General features: G+C 37.4%; 1 protein-coding gene across 13 annotated transcripts in view, besides 1 other annotated feature; it reads left to right on the top strand.

Annotated features, from left to right (window-relative positions):
• DCAF17 (DDB1 and CUL4 associated factor 17) overlaps nt 1-14,815 on the top strand; it is a 50,827-nt gene that overhangs the window by 4,926 nt on the left and 31,086 nt on the right. For all 13 annotated transcript variants that reach the window (NR_028482.2, XR_007082530.1, NM_025000.4 and 10 more), the window contains exons 3-6: nt 4,372-4,462; nt 9,530-9,666; nt 10,728-10,806; nt 13,973-14,062. Coding sequence is in view for 11 of the 13 variants with exons in the window: in NM_025000.4 (NP_079276.2) it covers nt 4,372-4,462; nt 9,530-9,666; nt 10,728-10,806; nt 13,973-14,062 (397 nt within the window). In the remaining 2 variants the exon portion in view is untranslated. The remainder of the gene's footprint in view (nt 1-4,371; nt 4,463-9,529; nt 9,667-10,727; nt 10,807-13,972; nt 14,063-14,815) is intronic.
• Nucleotides 8,107-8,311: a silencer, noted in NCBI's record as "fragment chr2:172303768-172303972 (GRCh37/hg19 assembly coordinates)". NCBI's record gives its function as "represses an EF-1alpha promoter that drives an FKBP-Casp9 reporter gene in an ReSE screen in K562 erythroleukemia cells {active_cell/tissue: K562}" and the evidence as "EXISTENCE:reporter gene assay evidence [ECO:0000049][PMID:32094911]".

The following is a 14,815-nucleotide window of genomic DNA, read 5'->3' on the forward strand; positions in this document are numbered from 1 at the left end:
TTCACTTTTGATTTTCTGCAGTTTGAATATGCTTCCCAGATTTGGGGCTTGGTATCTGTCAGTTTTGGAAAATTCTCAGCCATTATTACTTCAAATATTTATTTTTCTCTTTTTCTTCCTTCTGGTATTCCCATTATGTGGATGTTATACCTTCTCCAATTTTCCTGTAATACTTGAATATTCTGTTCTACTTTTTCTTTCTTTTTCCTCTTTTATTGCCCCAGCTTGGGAAGTTTCTGTTGACCTATCTTCAAACTCACTGATTCTGTCCTTGGCTGCATCCAGTTTACTGATAACTGTTAAAGGCGTTCTTCATTTCTCTTATGGTGTTTTTTGATTTCTAGTATTTCTTTTTTTTCCTTTTTTTTTTTTTTTTTTTTTAGAATTTTTATCTGTGTTTAATTTACCCATCTTTTCTTGCATGGTGTCCACTTTTCCCAGCTCTGATCCTGTTAATCAGCTATTTAATTAATTAGTTTAGAAATGAGGTCTTGTGACTGGGTGCGGAGGCTCACACCTGTAATCTCACACTTTGGGAGGACTAGGTGGGCAGATCACTTGAGGCTAGGAGTTCGACACCAGCCTGGCCAACATGGCGAAACCCCATCTCTACTAAAAAAACAAAAATTAGCTGGGCATGGTGGCACACACCCATAATCCCAGCTACTCCAGAGGCCAAGGCAGAAGAATTGCTTGAATCTGGGAGGTGGAGGTTGCAGTGAGTTGTGATTGCATGCCACTGCACTCCAGCCTGGGTAACAGAGCGAGACTCAAAAAAGAAAACCCCAAAAAACCCCAAACAAACAGTAAAAAACAAGAAATGAGGCGTTGCTTTGTTGCCCAGGCTAGAGTGCAGTGGCTTTTCACAGGTATGATAATAGTGCACTGTAGCCCCAAACTCCTGCACTCCAGTGATCCTCCTCCCTCAGCCTCCTGAGTATAGCTGGAACTACAGTCACATACCATCGCACCTGGCTTAATCATTGTTATTTTAATTTCTGGTCTGCTAACTCTAAAATCTCTGCCATATCTGAATCCAGTTCTGATGTTTGTTTTGTTTCTTCAAACTTTTGTATTTTGCCTGTTAGCATGCCTTGTCATTTTTTTGGTTGAGGGCTATATATGATATGATATATTGGATAGGCCAGGCACAGTGGCTTACTCCTGTCATCCCAGCACTTTTGGAGGCCAACGTCTGGGGTTGCTTGAGCCTAGGAGTTTGAGACCAGCCTAACCAACATGGCAAAACCCCATCTCTACAAAAAATATCAACATTAGCTGGGCATGGTGGCACACACCTGTAGTCCCAGCTACCAGGGAGGATGAGGTGGGAGGATCGCTTGAGCCCAGGAGGTCAAGGCTGCTCGAGCCGTCAGCATGCCACTGCACTCCAGCCTGAGCAACAGAGCGAGACAGTGTCTCAAAAAATTTTACAAATTTAAGATAATATTGGATAAAAAGAATTAAATAGGCCTTTAGAGTGAGATTTTATGTTTATCTGAGTAGGAGTTCGGCTATGATTATTGTTTGTTGTAGCCGTAGGTATTAGAGGTTAAAATTTCCTCTAGTGTGCTTATTTTTGTCTCCCCCATTGTTGGCTCCAGTGGCTTGTTCCTGGGCTTATGTTCCTGGAAAGCTGTAATTGTCAGTATCCACCTTTCTCTCCAGTTTTGGAGGCAGCAGTTTGCCCTGTGACCTGAATTCTCTGATGGATCTAAGAATAATTATGGATTTTCAGATTGTTCAGCATTTTTCGTGCTATGAGGACAGACGGGTGGCACTTCCAGGCTGTTTTCGTCTTGGACCAGAAACCAGAATTTAGAGAGAATAGTCAGCTTTTGAGATTTGTTCTAACCCCAAGAGGGCTCTGTCCTGCTAGCTTTTTCTGGTTATTTCTGGCAAATTAGCCAGCCTACAATTTAGCCTGTATCTCCGCTGAGTCTACCAGTCTCCTCCCATTTGCCTTTCATCACAAACTCCACAGATTTTGTTAGTGCTCCTAGGCCTTAACTTCTCCACACTCTGTTGCAAATAAAATTAGTTTTTCTGGAAAGAGCCACAGAGCTATCTCTTTTATGGCCTGCTTCTCCCCTCCTGCACAGTTTTTGAACTAAGGCTCTTTACCTGGTTGTGGGAGTCAATGCCATGCTTCTCTCTGAGTGACTCCCCTACTCTAGAAGCTGCGCACTTGGAGTTGAGGAAACACTGACCTCAGATCTTCCCACCTTGTCTCTCTCTCAGTGTAGAACTACTGTTTTCTAAGGAGGATAAGGCCAGTTAGGGCCTCAGTATCCTCAGCTGTGCTACATCCAAGGTAGATCCTCCATCCCATGAATAGGGGCTGGGTGGAAGAAGGGACCCCCACCTCTTGACTATACTGACCCAATACTCAGCCCCAGCAATAGGCAGCTGGGGACTGGATGAGAAATGCTGTCATCCCACCCCTCCTAGGAAGATAGCTCTCTGAGTGGAAGCTTGGAAAACAGGGAGCCTTGTACTCTTGGCTGCACCAGTCTGGAGTGGAGTTTCCATCTTGCTGAGCTGGGATTGGGAAGGAAGGGACTATGCCCTGGTTCAGACACCACAGACTCACTATTCTTACTGAGCAGTAGTAGGTTTTCTTGAATAAATGTTTCTTCATATGCTGTATGTCCCCAGGACCATTTGCAGAGACTTTAAATAGTTGTCCTTTTATGATTTTCACCAGTTTTGCCAAGGAGTTTGTCCACAGAGCTCTTCATGCCCTCATGCTGGAAGTGGAAATCTGGACATGTTATCTTATCATGTCATTATCACACCTAGGAAAATGAGCAACAATTCTTCAGGATCATTTAATGTCAAGTTTATAACTTCCTGCTTTAACTTAAAAAAAAAATTAAATTAGAGTAAGTGGTGTCAATTAGTGTTCTAATGATTAAATATTATTGAGTTATTTAATGTCCAATGGTGTTTTATCCACAGGTTATAATCGCATATGAAGTTGCCTTCATTCTTGTGAAACTGTTTGGTTTAAACTTTTGAATCAGTGAGAGAATGTCAAAGAGGTACAATAAAATTATCACCTGAAAATTGTTTCTCTTTCAACAGTAATTTAATTTCAAAGTTCATTTAAAAAAATGAAAAGGGGCTGGGCGCAGTGGCTCACGCCTGTAATCCCAGCACTTTGGGAGGCTGAGGCAGGCAGATCACGTGGTCAGGAGTTCGAGACCAGCCTGACCAACATGGTGAAACCCTGTCTCTACTAAAAATACAAAATACAAAAATTAGCTGGGCATGGTAGCATGCACCTGTAATCCCAGCTACTCAGGAGGCTGAGGCAGGAGAATCGCTTGAACCTGGGAAGCGGAGGTTGCAGTGAACCGAGATGGTGCCATTGCTCTCCAGCCTGGGAGACAGAGTGAGACTCCATCTCAAAAAAAAAAAAAAAAAAAAGAAAGAAAGAAAAGCGCCAGGCGAAGTGGCTCACACCTGTCATCCCAACACTTCGGGAGGCTGAGGCAGGTGGATTACTTGAGTCCAGGAGTTCAAGACCATCCTGGGCAACATGGCAAAACTCTGCCTCTACAAAAAATGTAACAATTAGCTAAGCGTAGTAGCATGAGCTTGTAGTCCCAGTTACTTGGGAGGCTGAGGCAGGACAATTACATGAGCCTGGGAGGTGGAGGTTGAAGTGAGCTAAGATCATGCCATTGCACTCCAGCCTGGAGTGTGAGAAACTGTCTCAAAAAAAAGGAACAAAATAAAATTAAACATTTATGATCACATCTCAACTAATCAGAGAAGTACAAATTAAAAGAGACTATTTTTCACATCAAAGATATAGCATTCAATATTGGCAGAAGTATAAATTTACTCAACCTTTCTGAAAAGTAATTTGGGAGTAAAAAAAAAAACCATAAAGGGTTTTTTGTTTTTTGTTTTTTTTAAATCCACTAGTTTTCATTCTAAAATAATGGGACCCTTTTTATCCAGTAATTTTCATTTTAAATATCAGAACAATAGTTTTTGATCTTGATGGAATTCAACAGAGATATTCTTAGTAAATGTTCAGAGGTAAAGAAAGAATTTAATATGAACCATTTTTGGAAAACAACGTCCAGGTACGTATATGTATATAAACCAGAAGGAAATGAACCAAAATGTTAATAAGGGTTATTTTTGGCAGTTTTATGGTATTGTAAACTATTTTAATCTTGTTTTTTTTTATATGAATTATGTGATCAGAAAAAAATATTAATATTTAGTTAAGAGGAAAGCAAATAAATTGTGCCTTGGTATTTCACATCTCTGAATAAAAATAGTCTCTCAAACCTGAACAAATACTGTCTTGGTTATCAAGAATAATAATCATTTATTTTTCTTTTTTCCCAGTGTTGCATCTGAGCCAAGAAAACTTTATGAAATGCCAAAATGTTCCAAATCAGAAAAAATAGAGGATGCTTTATTATGGGAATGCCCAGTGGTAAGATTTGTTTTTAGAGCGTTTGTTTCTAAAGCATTTTTAGCCTAGAAGAACCAGTTATTATTAACATATTGCATAAAATAATACAACTTAAATATCATAGTGACTCTTGCATCTTTAAAGCAATCAAGATGAGAGTATATCTTTTATTTTCCTCATGAAATAATTTCTGTATTAAAAATACTAATATTATGAATGTGTTTTTAAAATTAGATAGATTTTTTTTAGATCCTGAAAACTAAAAAGTTATAAATCGATTAAAAGTTATATAAGCAGCATAAGCTAATGTATAATTATCTTAGTGTTTAAGAGATCATTCCACTCAATATACTGAAACAGTAACAAAGTATTTAGAGCAACAGTTATTTTACGTTATTTTACGTGTTAGGAAAATAATAAAAATAAAATAATAGGATAAGCTCATTTCATAAGGCTAGCTTTGCCTGGGTGTATATTTTTCAAAACACTGTTTTCATGGAATGTTAACGGGTGTCAGAGGAGTTAGGGGGAATTGGGCTGTGAAAAACTAAGTTTGGGACATTCTGAGTTTAAGACTGTAAACATATCTATTGATAGAATTACTTCTCAGAGCCTTTACTAATAATAATAATACAATAATACTAATAGGTATGATGATTATCAAGCCATTTCCCCAAATTCTTTTGATCATAGAACTTCCTTGTTTAAGGAATATTTCTAAGTACAGGTTGAGCATCCCTAATCTGAAAATCTGAGATCCAACATGCTCCAAAATTCAAAACTTTTTGAATGCCGACATGACGCCACAAGTGGAAAATTTTACACCTGCCCTCATGTGACAGGCACAAAATTTAAAATATTATGTAAAATTATCTTCAGGCTACATGTATAAGATAGATATGAAACATAAATGAATTTTGTGTTTAGACTTGGGTCCCATCCCCAAGATACCTCATTATGCATATGCAAATATCCCCAAATCCAAAGAAATTCAAATCTGAAACACTTCTAGTCCCAAGTGTTTCAGTAGGAGAAGGGATAATCGACCTGTATTTGTTTTCTATAGGATCAGTGCTTATTCTAAGAAATGCACTTAGGAAATACTACAACAGATTAATCAGGTCTTTGAATCTGATTGGCTGTCCTTTAGGAAAAACGGAACTCATAATATGTGACCAAAAATAATTTTTAAAGGATAAGAGGCTGTACGCTAAATTTATTGTTAATTTTTTTTTCAGGCTATCATTTTTACATAAAGTTTTAGTTTTCTGGAGCTGCTGCTTTCTTTTTCTCTGAATACTTATTGTCTGTTCACTGAAGGCTCCTATTTAAAAATTAGAAAGCTTTTAAACCTATGTTTTCTTCTTCAACTCCTTATTGAAAGCTAAAAGTAACTGTTGTGCCTTTAGCAATTTAAAGCTTTTTGATCCATTTTCATTGGGGAGTATGGGGGAAGACGACAGATTTCTTAATTGAGAAAGTTTTTAATACACTAGTATAAAACACCAAAAATTTAGTAACCTAATTCCTATTCTCACTATTTTTTTTTTTTGAGACGGTCTCTCTTTGTTGCCCAGGCTGCAGTGCAGTGGCGTGATCTCCACTCACTGCAACCTCTGCCTCCCAGGCTCAAGCAATTCTCCTGCCTCAGCCTCCCAAGTAGCTGGGACTACAGGCACCCAGCACCATGCCCCACTAATTTTTGTATTTTTAGTAGACACGGGGTTTCACCATGTTGGCCAGGCTGGTCTCGAACTCTTGACCTCAAGTGATCCACCCTCCTTGGACTCCCAAAGTGCTGGGATTACAGGCATAAGCCACCATGCCCGGTCCGTATTCTCACTTATTTTTAAACATTTTATTCTCATTTCAACTGCAGCAAGATTTTCTCTTAAGAAAAACCAGGAGCATTTTGAATTGTTATTAACACACTGATATGAAACTACTTTTAAGTTAGTGTCCATCTTTTCCAAGACTCTGTGTGAATTACAGCTTTTTGTTCAAGAAAATATTTCGAACGTATTATATTTGCTGCTTCAAATTATTTTGATAGGCAAGTTATAAATAGTATATTTTTTAAAACTTAAATTTTTTTAATATATTTTTTTAAGACAGGGTCTCACTCTGTTGCCTAAGCTGGAGTCCAGTGGCACAATCACAGCTCACTGCAGCCTCTACCTCCTGGGCTCAGGTGATCCTTCCACCTTGGCCTCCTAAGTAGCTGGGACTACAGGTGTGCACCAACAAACCCAGCTAATTTTTGTATTTTTTGTAGAGGTGGGGTTTTGTCATGTTGCCTAGGCTAGTCTTGAACTCCTGGGCTCAAGTGATCTGCCCGCCTTGGCCTCCCAAAGTGCTGGGATTATAAGTGTGAGTCACCACGCTCAGCCAAAAACTTTTAAATCTTCATGAAACAACATTTAGATAAGACGTTGTAGAATAAATGCATTTATATCATTGCCCTGAATCCAGTGTAAGACTTCAAGGGTTAATAAACTTAAAAAAAAAATCTTATAGCCAGTATTTTAAGAAACTTGATTATACTTACGAAAGGAACATTGTTTGTTTTCTCTTCTTTTAAATATGGAGAGGTTTAATCCTTTACCTAACAAAGGAATTAATTTTAGCAAAATGATTCATTCCAACCCTCTTATAAGAAATATCTAGGAGAGTGGCCAGGTGCGGTGGCTCACGCCTGTAATCCCAGCACTTTGGGAGGCCGAGGCGGGCAGATCACGAGATCGGGTGTTCAAGACCAGCCTGACCAACATAGTGAAACCCCGTCTCTACTAAAAATACAAAAATTAGCCAGGTGTGGTGGCACGCACCTGTAATCCCAGATACTCGGGAGGCTGAGGCAGGAGAATCGCTTGAACCTGGGAGGCAGAGGTTGCAGTGAGCAGAGATCATGCCACTGCACTCCAGCCTGGGTGACAGAGCAAGACTCTGTCTCAAAAGAAAAAAAAAAAATCTAGGAGAGTCAACTAAGAAAAATAATGAATCTAAGTGATAAACATTCAGGAAATTCTCTAAATAAGAGATTTATTTACAGTCTTAATATCTCAGGGTTCTTTTTAGGTTTCCAGGGGAAAAGAGCAGGATAACAGTGTGGAGACTGCTAAGTTGAGAATTTAAAACAAATGAGAACATAAGATTTTTAAAATTGCATTGTGAATGTAACATTTTTTATCAATCCTTTAATCTCACTCTTTTAGACATATTGAGAAAATGTTAAATAGAAAATATTATGAAATTTTAATAAGATGTTTCAGATCTTTGAGCATGAAAAATATAACAAAAAAGCCTAATTTCAAAAAACTATTTGAGATCAAGGGACAATGGTGTGACCAATATGAAGGGTCAAGACTGAAATGTATTGTCTTTACTATCAAGAACTCTACTTTCAGTTTTTTCTCGGACAGTTAATTTCAGCTTCGTAGAGATTTCTGACCAAATTAAGGAACACTGTTTTCCTGGGTTTGTTTTGGGTATATGTCATTATAGTTATGTTATTTCTTACTGAAATTTATAATTGTGAGTTTTTTGTATTGTTTTAGTATTTAGTGGTGTATAATGTGTTATTCAATTATATGTAGTCATACAAAAAAAAAACACTAGCATACAAACAAAAATTATTTTTTTCCTTAACATTTGAAAGGCAAGACAAATTTTTAGGGAGCATATATAAAATAACTATGTCTTCATTCTTTTCTATTCACTTTTTGGCCTAAGCAGATACTAGATTAATTTCAGCCTCTCTTTACTTTCTTTCTTTCTTTTTTTCTTTTTTGAGATGGAGTCTTCTGTCGCCAGGCTGGAGTGCAGTGGCACGATCTCAGCTCACCGCAACCTCCACCTCCCGGGTTCAAGTGATTCTCCTGCCTCAGCCTCCCAAGTAGCTGGGATTATAGGCAAGCACCGCAACGCCCAGCTAATTTTTGTATTTTTTTTAGTAGAGATGGGGTTTCGCCATGTTGGCCAGGCTGGTCTCGATCTCCTGACATCGTGATCCAGCCACCTCAGCCTCCCAAAGTGCTGGGATTACAGGCGTGAGCCACCGCACCTAGCCACTTCTTTTTTTCCTTTTTATCTAGAAACAGAGTCTTGCTGTGTTGCCTAGGCTGATATCGAACTCCTGGGCTCAGGTAATCCTTCTGCCTCACTCTCTCAAAGTGCTGGGATTACAGGTGGGGACCACGATGCCCTTTTAGTCTACAAATTAAAGAAGAAAACTTTGCTTCTCTTTTTCTTCCTGCCTTAGACTTCCACCTTGTGGTGGCTCCTCAGTGACAGGAGTGCCCATGCAGCTATCCTCTCCCTTTTCTAGGATAATTCACTGGTGACATAGGTCATCTTTCAAACCAGGTCCATTTTCTGTACTTTGGCTGTCTTCATTGGTTTCTAGCTTTTCATTTGAGCTTAGGTTAGAACCACAGTGAATAATGAAGTAATTTGCATTTTGCCAGTTTTGACTTCCATCTAAAGGAAACAAGTCCTGTGGTAAAGGAAAAAGGGGGCAATATGAATGTCTATTCTAGCAGAGAACCCTTTTTTTTTGAGACGGGATCTCACTCTGTCACCCAGGCTGGAGTGCAGTGGCATAGTCATCACTCACTGCAGCCTTGACCTCCCAGTCTCAAGCGATCCTCTTGCCTCAGCCTCCTAAGTAGTTGGGACTCCAGGCACTCACCACCATGCTAATAGCAGAGGACTCTTAATCGCTATGCTATATACATGATTTTAAGAGCTGTTATTGTTGTTATTGTTATCACAGAGGTAGCATCATTGTCTTCTACTGTTATTATGACTAACATTTGTGAATACTTAATAAAATAATTAATTCATAATAATAAATTATTTCAGGCCATGTTTAAGTGCTTTATGTGAATAAACTCAATAAGTGATGATGAAATAATTACCCACAATCTTATCTTTCCTTGTCTTAATTCTCTAGTTGGGCATTTAATCTTTCTTTTGTGGTTTATTTATTTGGCATTTGAATATTTAGCTATTTTCTTTGGACATTGATTACTGCAAATTGTTCATGGCCAAGCAGTTTCATTTTTATATCTCTCTTTTTTTTTTTAGGGAGATATACTTCCCAATTCATCAGATTATAAGTCCTCACTCATAGCACTGACTGCTCATAATTGGCTACTTCGTATATCAGCAACTACGGGAAAAATCCTTGAGAAAATATATCTTGCACCTTATTGCAAATTCAGGTATTTACTGTGAATTTATTATTCAAGATTTTATTTTAAAAATTTGAAACCTGTGGCCCATGAAATTTCAAGCCTTTTTTCCCTGTCAGTTTTCTAATCCATTACCAGATCTCAATTAATAAACCTATTTTCTTTTTCTCCCCTCATGACTACATTTAGAGGTCTGAGTATAGAGACCCTCTATCATTTGTCTTTTTTTTTTCTTTTTTAAGACAAGGTCTTGCTCTGTCTCCCAGGCTGGAGTGCAGTGGCGTGATCTCTGCTTACTGCAACCTCCACCTACCAGGTTCAAGCGATTCTCCTGACTCAGCCTTCCCAGTAGCTGGGATTTTGGGTGTGCACCCCATGCCCAGCTACTTTTTGTATTTTTGGTAGAGCTGAGGTTTCCCTATGTTGGCCAGGCTGGTCTCAAACTCCTGACCTCAAGTGATCTGCCCACCTCAGCCTCCTAAAGTTCTGGGATTACAGGCGTGAGCCATCGTGCCCAGCTGTCATTTATCTTTGTATCCCTAATAAGTAACTAACCTGTAATAGTTTAAATAAACTTAAAAAAAAAAATTCCCTGTATTCTACAAATAGTATTTTCTATGTAAGATGCTCTTTATGGTAGATTTTCCTGAAGGCTAGTCTGTTTCAGTTAAATTGTCTGCTGTGTACAATCCAAGAACTGTTATTTTAACTATTAGTTTTATAAATTAGATGTAAATGGAGTGAATATGTTCATGGAATGTGTGAAAGTAACATTTTTAGTGCTTTTTATACTTCCATTTTAAAGTAGAAATGATTATTTTGTTTTCTAAGTTTTGAATACTCTTAGATCGAAAACAATTTTTATTCACCAATGCTCTAGAAAGATTAAAATTATGTATGTATTTAAATAGGGATATGTCCATATGGGGATATAGAGGAAATTTTTTTAGCTATTTATTTTTTAAAATAGATCACTTTGCTTTTATAATTTAAATAACTAAAAAATAGTTTACTTATAAAATATAATATTTTGGTTTTAAGTATAAGGAAACTGACCCAAATAAATAAACTTCTCTTCATTCTTTTAAAAGATACTTGAGCTGGGACACTCCTCAAGAAGTCATTGCAGTTAAGTCAGCTCAGAACAGAGGCTCAGCAGTGGCCCGGCAGGTATACATATTTAAACATTCAATAAAATGAAGACTCTTTTTCATAGGAATTTGTCTGCAGATTTGTTATGAAAAATCTAATGATCTTTTATTTCTGAAGCATGCTGTAAAAGATAGGATTCACGGCAACCTGGATGGGATCGGAGACCATTATTCTAAGTGAAGTAACTAAGAAATGGAAAACCAGACATTGTATTTTCTCACTCATAAGTGAGAGCTAAGCCTTGAGGATGCAAAGGCATAAGAATGATACAATTTACTCTGGAGACTCGGGTGAAAGGGTGGGAGGTGGGTGAGGGATGAAACACTACACATTGGGTATAGTGTATACCACTCAGGTGATATGTGCACCAAAATCTGAGAAATCACCACTAAAGAACTTACTCATGTGACCCAACACCACCTGTTCCTCAAAAACCTATTGAAATAAAATAATAATAAAAATATTTTAAAAAAGAAAAGTTGATAGGTAGATTTTTTTTTTCTGAAGCGTGCTATTTAAAGAGATTTTTCTCTTAAAGAATTACCCAGGATTTACTAGATTTTATAAAGTCTGGAAATTTATATCAAGAAACTTTTTGTTTCTATTGGTGACTTATGGGGAAATACTATGGAAAGCATTTATTGAGCACTTAAAAAATAGATATAGACTGCTTTTAGAGGTTTTCTGTTTCTTTATACACCGGGACACCTAGAAAAAGCAAATACTTATTTTGTGTCTCCCCTTGGCAGAGTCTGTTGTAGTTCTTTCTCATTTTTAATTTGAACTACTTCAGCTGTTTCTCACTAGTGTCCTTGATTGCAAAACAGGCAGGCACTGATCTGAGTTCTTTACCTGTATTTACTAATTTGATCTTCAGCACACTCCTTTCAGTAGATACTTTTATCATCCCATTTTACAGGTGAGGATTCTGAGCCCCAGAGAAGCTAAGTAACTTATCCAGCATCATAGTGTTGGTAACCTTGGCTCAAACTCAGGCAGTTTAGCTCTAGAGTCCCTGCTCTTATGCACTGTAGTAAGCTGCCCCTTCTTGAAATTTCTGTAATATGGACTGGCAGGTGAAGTTTATATAGAACTCTAGCATTAAAAAAAAAAAAAAGTTAAGTAGTTCCTTTAATTTTACCTTGTTTAGATAACTACATCAAGCATTTCCTTGTCAACCCTCCAGTGTATTCCCATACATGCTGGGTCTGTGAACTCTGCTTTTCATTCCTCCCTCATCTCTCTTGTCTACTTTTTCTGTATGCCCCTGAAGCCAAGCAAACTATTTGTTGGCTACTTCTACTTACTTTTTATCATGGTTATCTGAATGTTTTCCTACCCTTTACTAATCCTGCCCAGTCACATTAATAACTTAACTGCATGCCTTTTATTGGAATCTCCTTACCCTTTTCCTGATTTATTTAGTATGACATCTAAGAAAGAGAGATGCTATCTCTCTCTTAGTAATACTTCTCTCTTTATACTCTTACTACCTTGCTTTTACTTTGGTAAAGGAAAATTCAGAAAAGTGGGATAGTATAAAAAAGCAAAACATTTTGCTACTTTGAGAATTCTAAAGTGTCTTGTCTGATGTACCTTTTTAATAATTTAAATTGCTAAAGAGCAAGAATTTTTGTTTTGTTTTGTTTTGTTTTGAGACGGAGTCTCGCTTTGTTGCCAGGCTAGAGTGTCGTGGTGAGCTCTCAGCTCACTGCATCCTCTGCCTCCCAGGTTCAAGCAATTCTCCTGACTCAGCCTCCTGAGTAGCTGGGACTACAGGCGTGCACCACCAGGCCCAGCTAATTTTTGTATTTTTACTAGAGACGGGGTTTCACCATGTTGGCCAGCATGGTCTCGATCTCTTGACCTCCCAAAGTCCTGGGATTTACAGGCGTGAACCACCACTCCTGGCTAAGAATTTTTTTAAGTTTAATTCTATACGTTATCATATGTTAATGTTTTACATTTACCATCACCTGATAATGTTAATAAAATCTTGTCAGTATTTCTATATTCTGGACTGTTTTCCTACAGTCTCCAGCCAACAAGTAGTAGCTCTTAGTTGGGGTATATAAACTGTACTTTTCCTTTGGGTTTAAGGAACACAGAAGGAGTCTGATTTACCTTGAAGATATTAGTTCAATAAAAATTTATCCCTTTGGAAGGGAGAATCTTTTGGGCTTTAAGCATTACAATCTTTTTTGTTTGCTGTTTATTTGTTTTCTAACTTTTAGTTATAGCAGTTTTGATTGGTGTTTCCAGCCTTAAAAGTTCTATTGAAGCAGAGACTGGCTGTGATGGGGCAGACAGCTTTGCCTAACACAAATTTAAGAAATTCCCTTCAAAACTGTATTGGAGAAGTACAAGAGATTGTTTTACATTTCACAGTGGCAAGAAATTGGACCTTGTTCTTCAAAGTAAGGAGGCTATCCTTTTCAAGCAGAAGAGTCACTCAAGCTTTCATTGATGATATTATTTCTAATTTCCTGTAAAGGAGTCAGCACAACACTACTTTCATTATATATTTATTTATTTAGAGACAGCATGTCTGATGCCCAGGCTGGAGTGCAATGGCTTGATCAGAGTTCACTGCAGCTTCAAACTCCCGGGCTGAAGTGCTCCTCTCACGTCACCCTCCTGAGTAGCTGGGACTACAGGCATGCGCCACCATGTCCAGCTAATTTTTTTATTTTTTGTATAAACGAGGTCTCACTATTTCTACAGTGAGTGGCCAGGCTGGTCTCAGACTCCTAGCCTCAAGCGATCCTCCTGCCTTAGCCTCCCAAAGGGCTGGAATTATAGGCGTGAGCTACCTGATCCAGCAGCTTTCAAATGATATGAGCACGATAACTACATTATCTTTTTATTAGGCTCTTTATTGTTCAAACTCCAATTCAAAATATAAATGCATGGTATTTTATTGCTAAGAAATGTTTACTTTTATGGATTTTTGTCTGTATATATGCGCATGTGTGTCTGAAGGGCTGAAGCTTTAGTGGACATGTTTTGAATATGTTGCCCTTCCATTTAAGTAACTTTGCAATCTAGATAGATGGTTGTTTTCATAATATGAAAATGTCTGTATAACTACATGCTAGAACAGATGGATTTTTTCAACTAATGAAAACAGTGTGTTTCTGAAGTACTTTTGAGAGCTGCGTGTAATTGTAGTCTTTCCTTCTAGGCAGGCATTCAACAACATGTTTTGCTGTACCTTGCAGTGTTCCGAGTTCTACCTTTTTCACTTGTAGGGATTCTAGAGATCAACAAAAAGGTAAGAACTCATTTCTTATTTAATTGCAATATTTTATTGACAATAAGTTGTAATGTCATTATTTAATTATTTATGAGATATTTGATTGGAAATGCTCCCCTCACTATAAAAAGTTCACTAACTTGGTTTATTTTGTAACAAAATACATGAGAACATTTGCCTAATATCCCTTCATCTTTCTGCATGTTTTTATGCCTCTCAGGTGGATCATATTGGATACCTGTGGTCATTAACAAACTACTATGTTATGAAATTACAAAATGAGTAAGGTTTTTTTTTTCCAGAAGGAACATTCCAAAGCTTGTTAAAAAGATCATTAAAGGAAGGTGAAAAGTTGCAACAAAATATTTCATTTTAATTGCAAGATATAGGTCTAAAACTTGCTTTATGATATATAACAAGCCTTATATTTAAATATGTAAATTTTCCAATTCATTCAGTTTTGGGTTTTATTGTTGTTCCCATTTGTTCTTGACTTGTGGAGCAGTTACATGGGAGGAAAGAAGGAGCAAATTTCCTTTGAGTAAAAGAATGAATAGGATTCTACTTTAAAAAAAAAAGTTACTTATTCTTGGTGCATAGTTATTTATTGAGCTCTCCTACTGGTCTTTAATTCAGCACCTGAAGTATTGTAGAGGACAGTATCTTGAGGATCTACTGATCTTTATAAGCAAACAAGTTGAATGTATTAAAATTTTACATTATGTAAGCATTATATACTAAACTGCATAATGGCTAAAGAGTAATATTAGT

Source organism: Homo sapiens, chromosome 2 (assembly GCF_000001405.40).
Source record: "Homo sapiens chromosome 2, GRCh38.p14 Primary Assembly".
NCBI classification, from domain to species: Eukaryota; Metazoa; Chordata; class Mammalia; order Primates; family Hominidae; genus Homo; species Homo sapiens.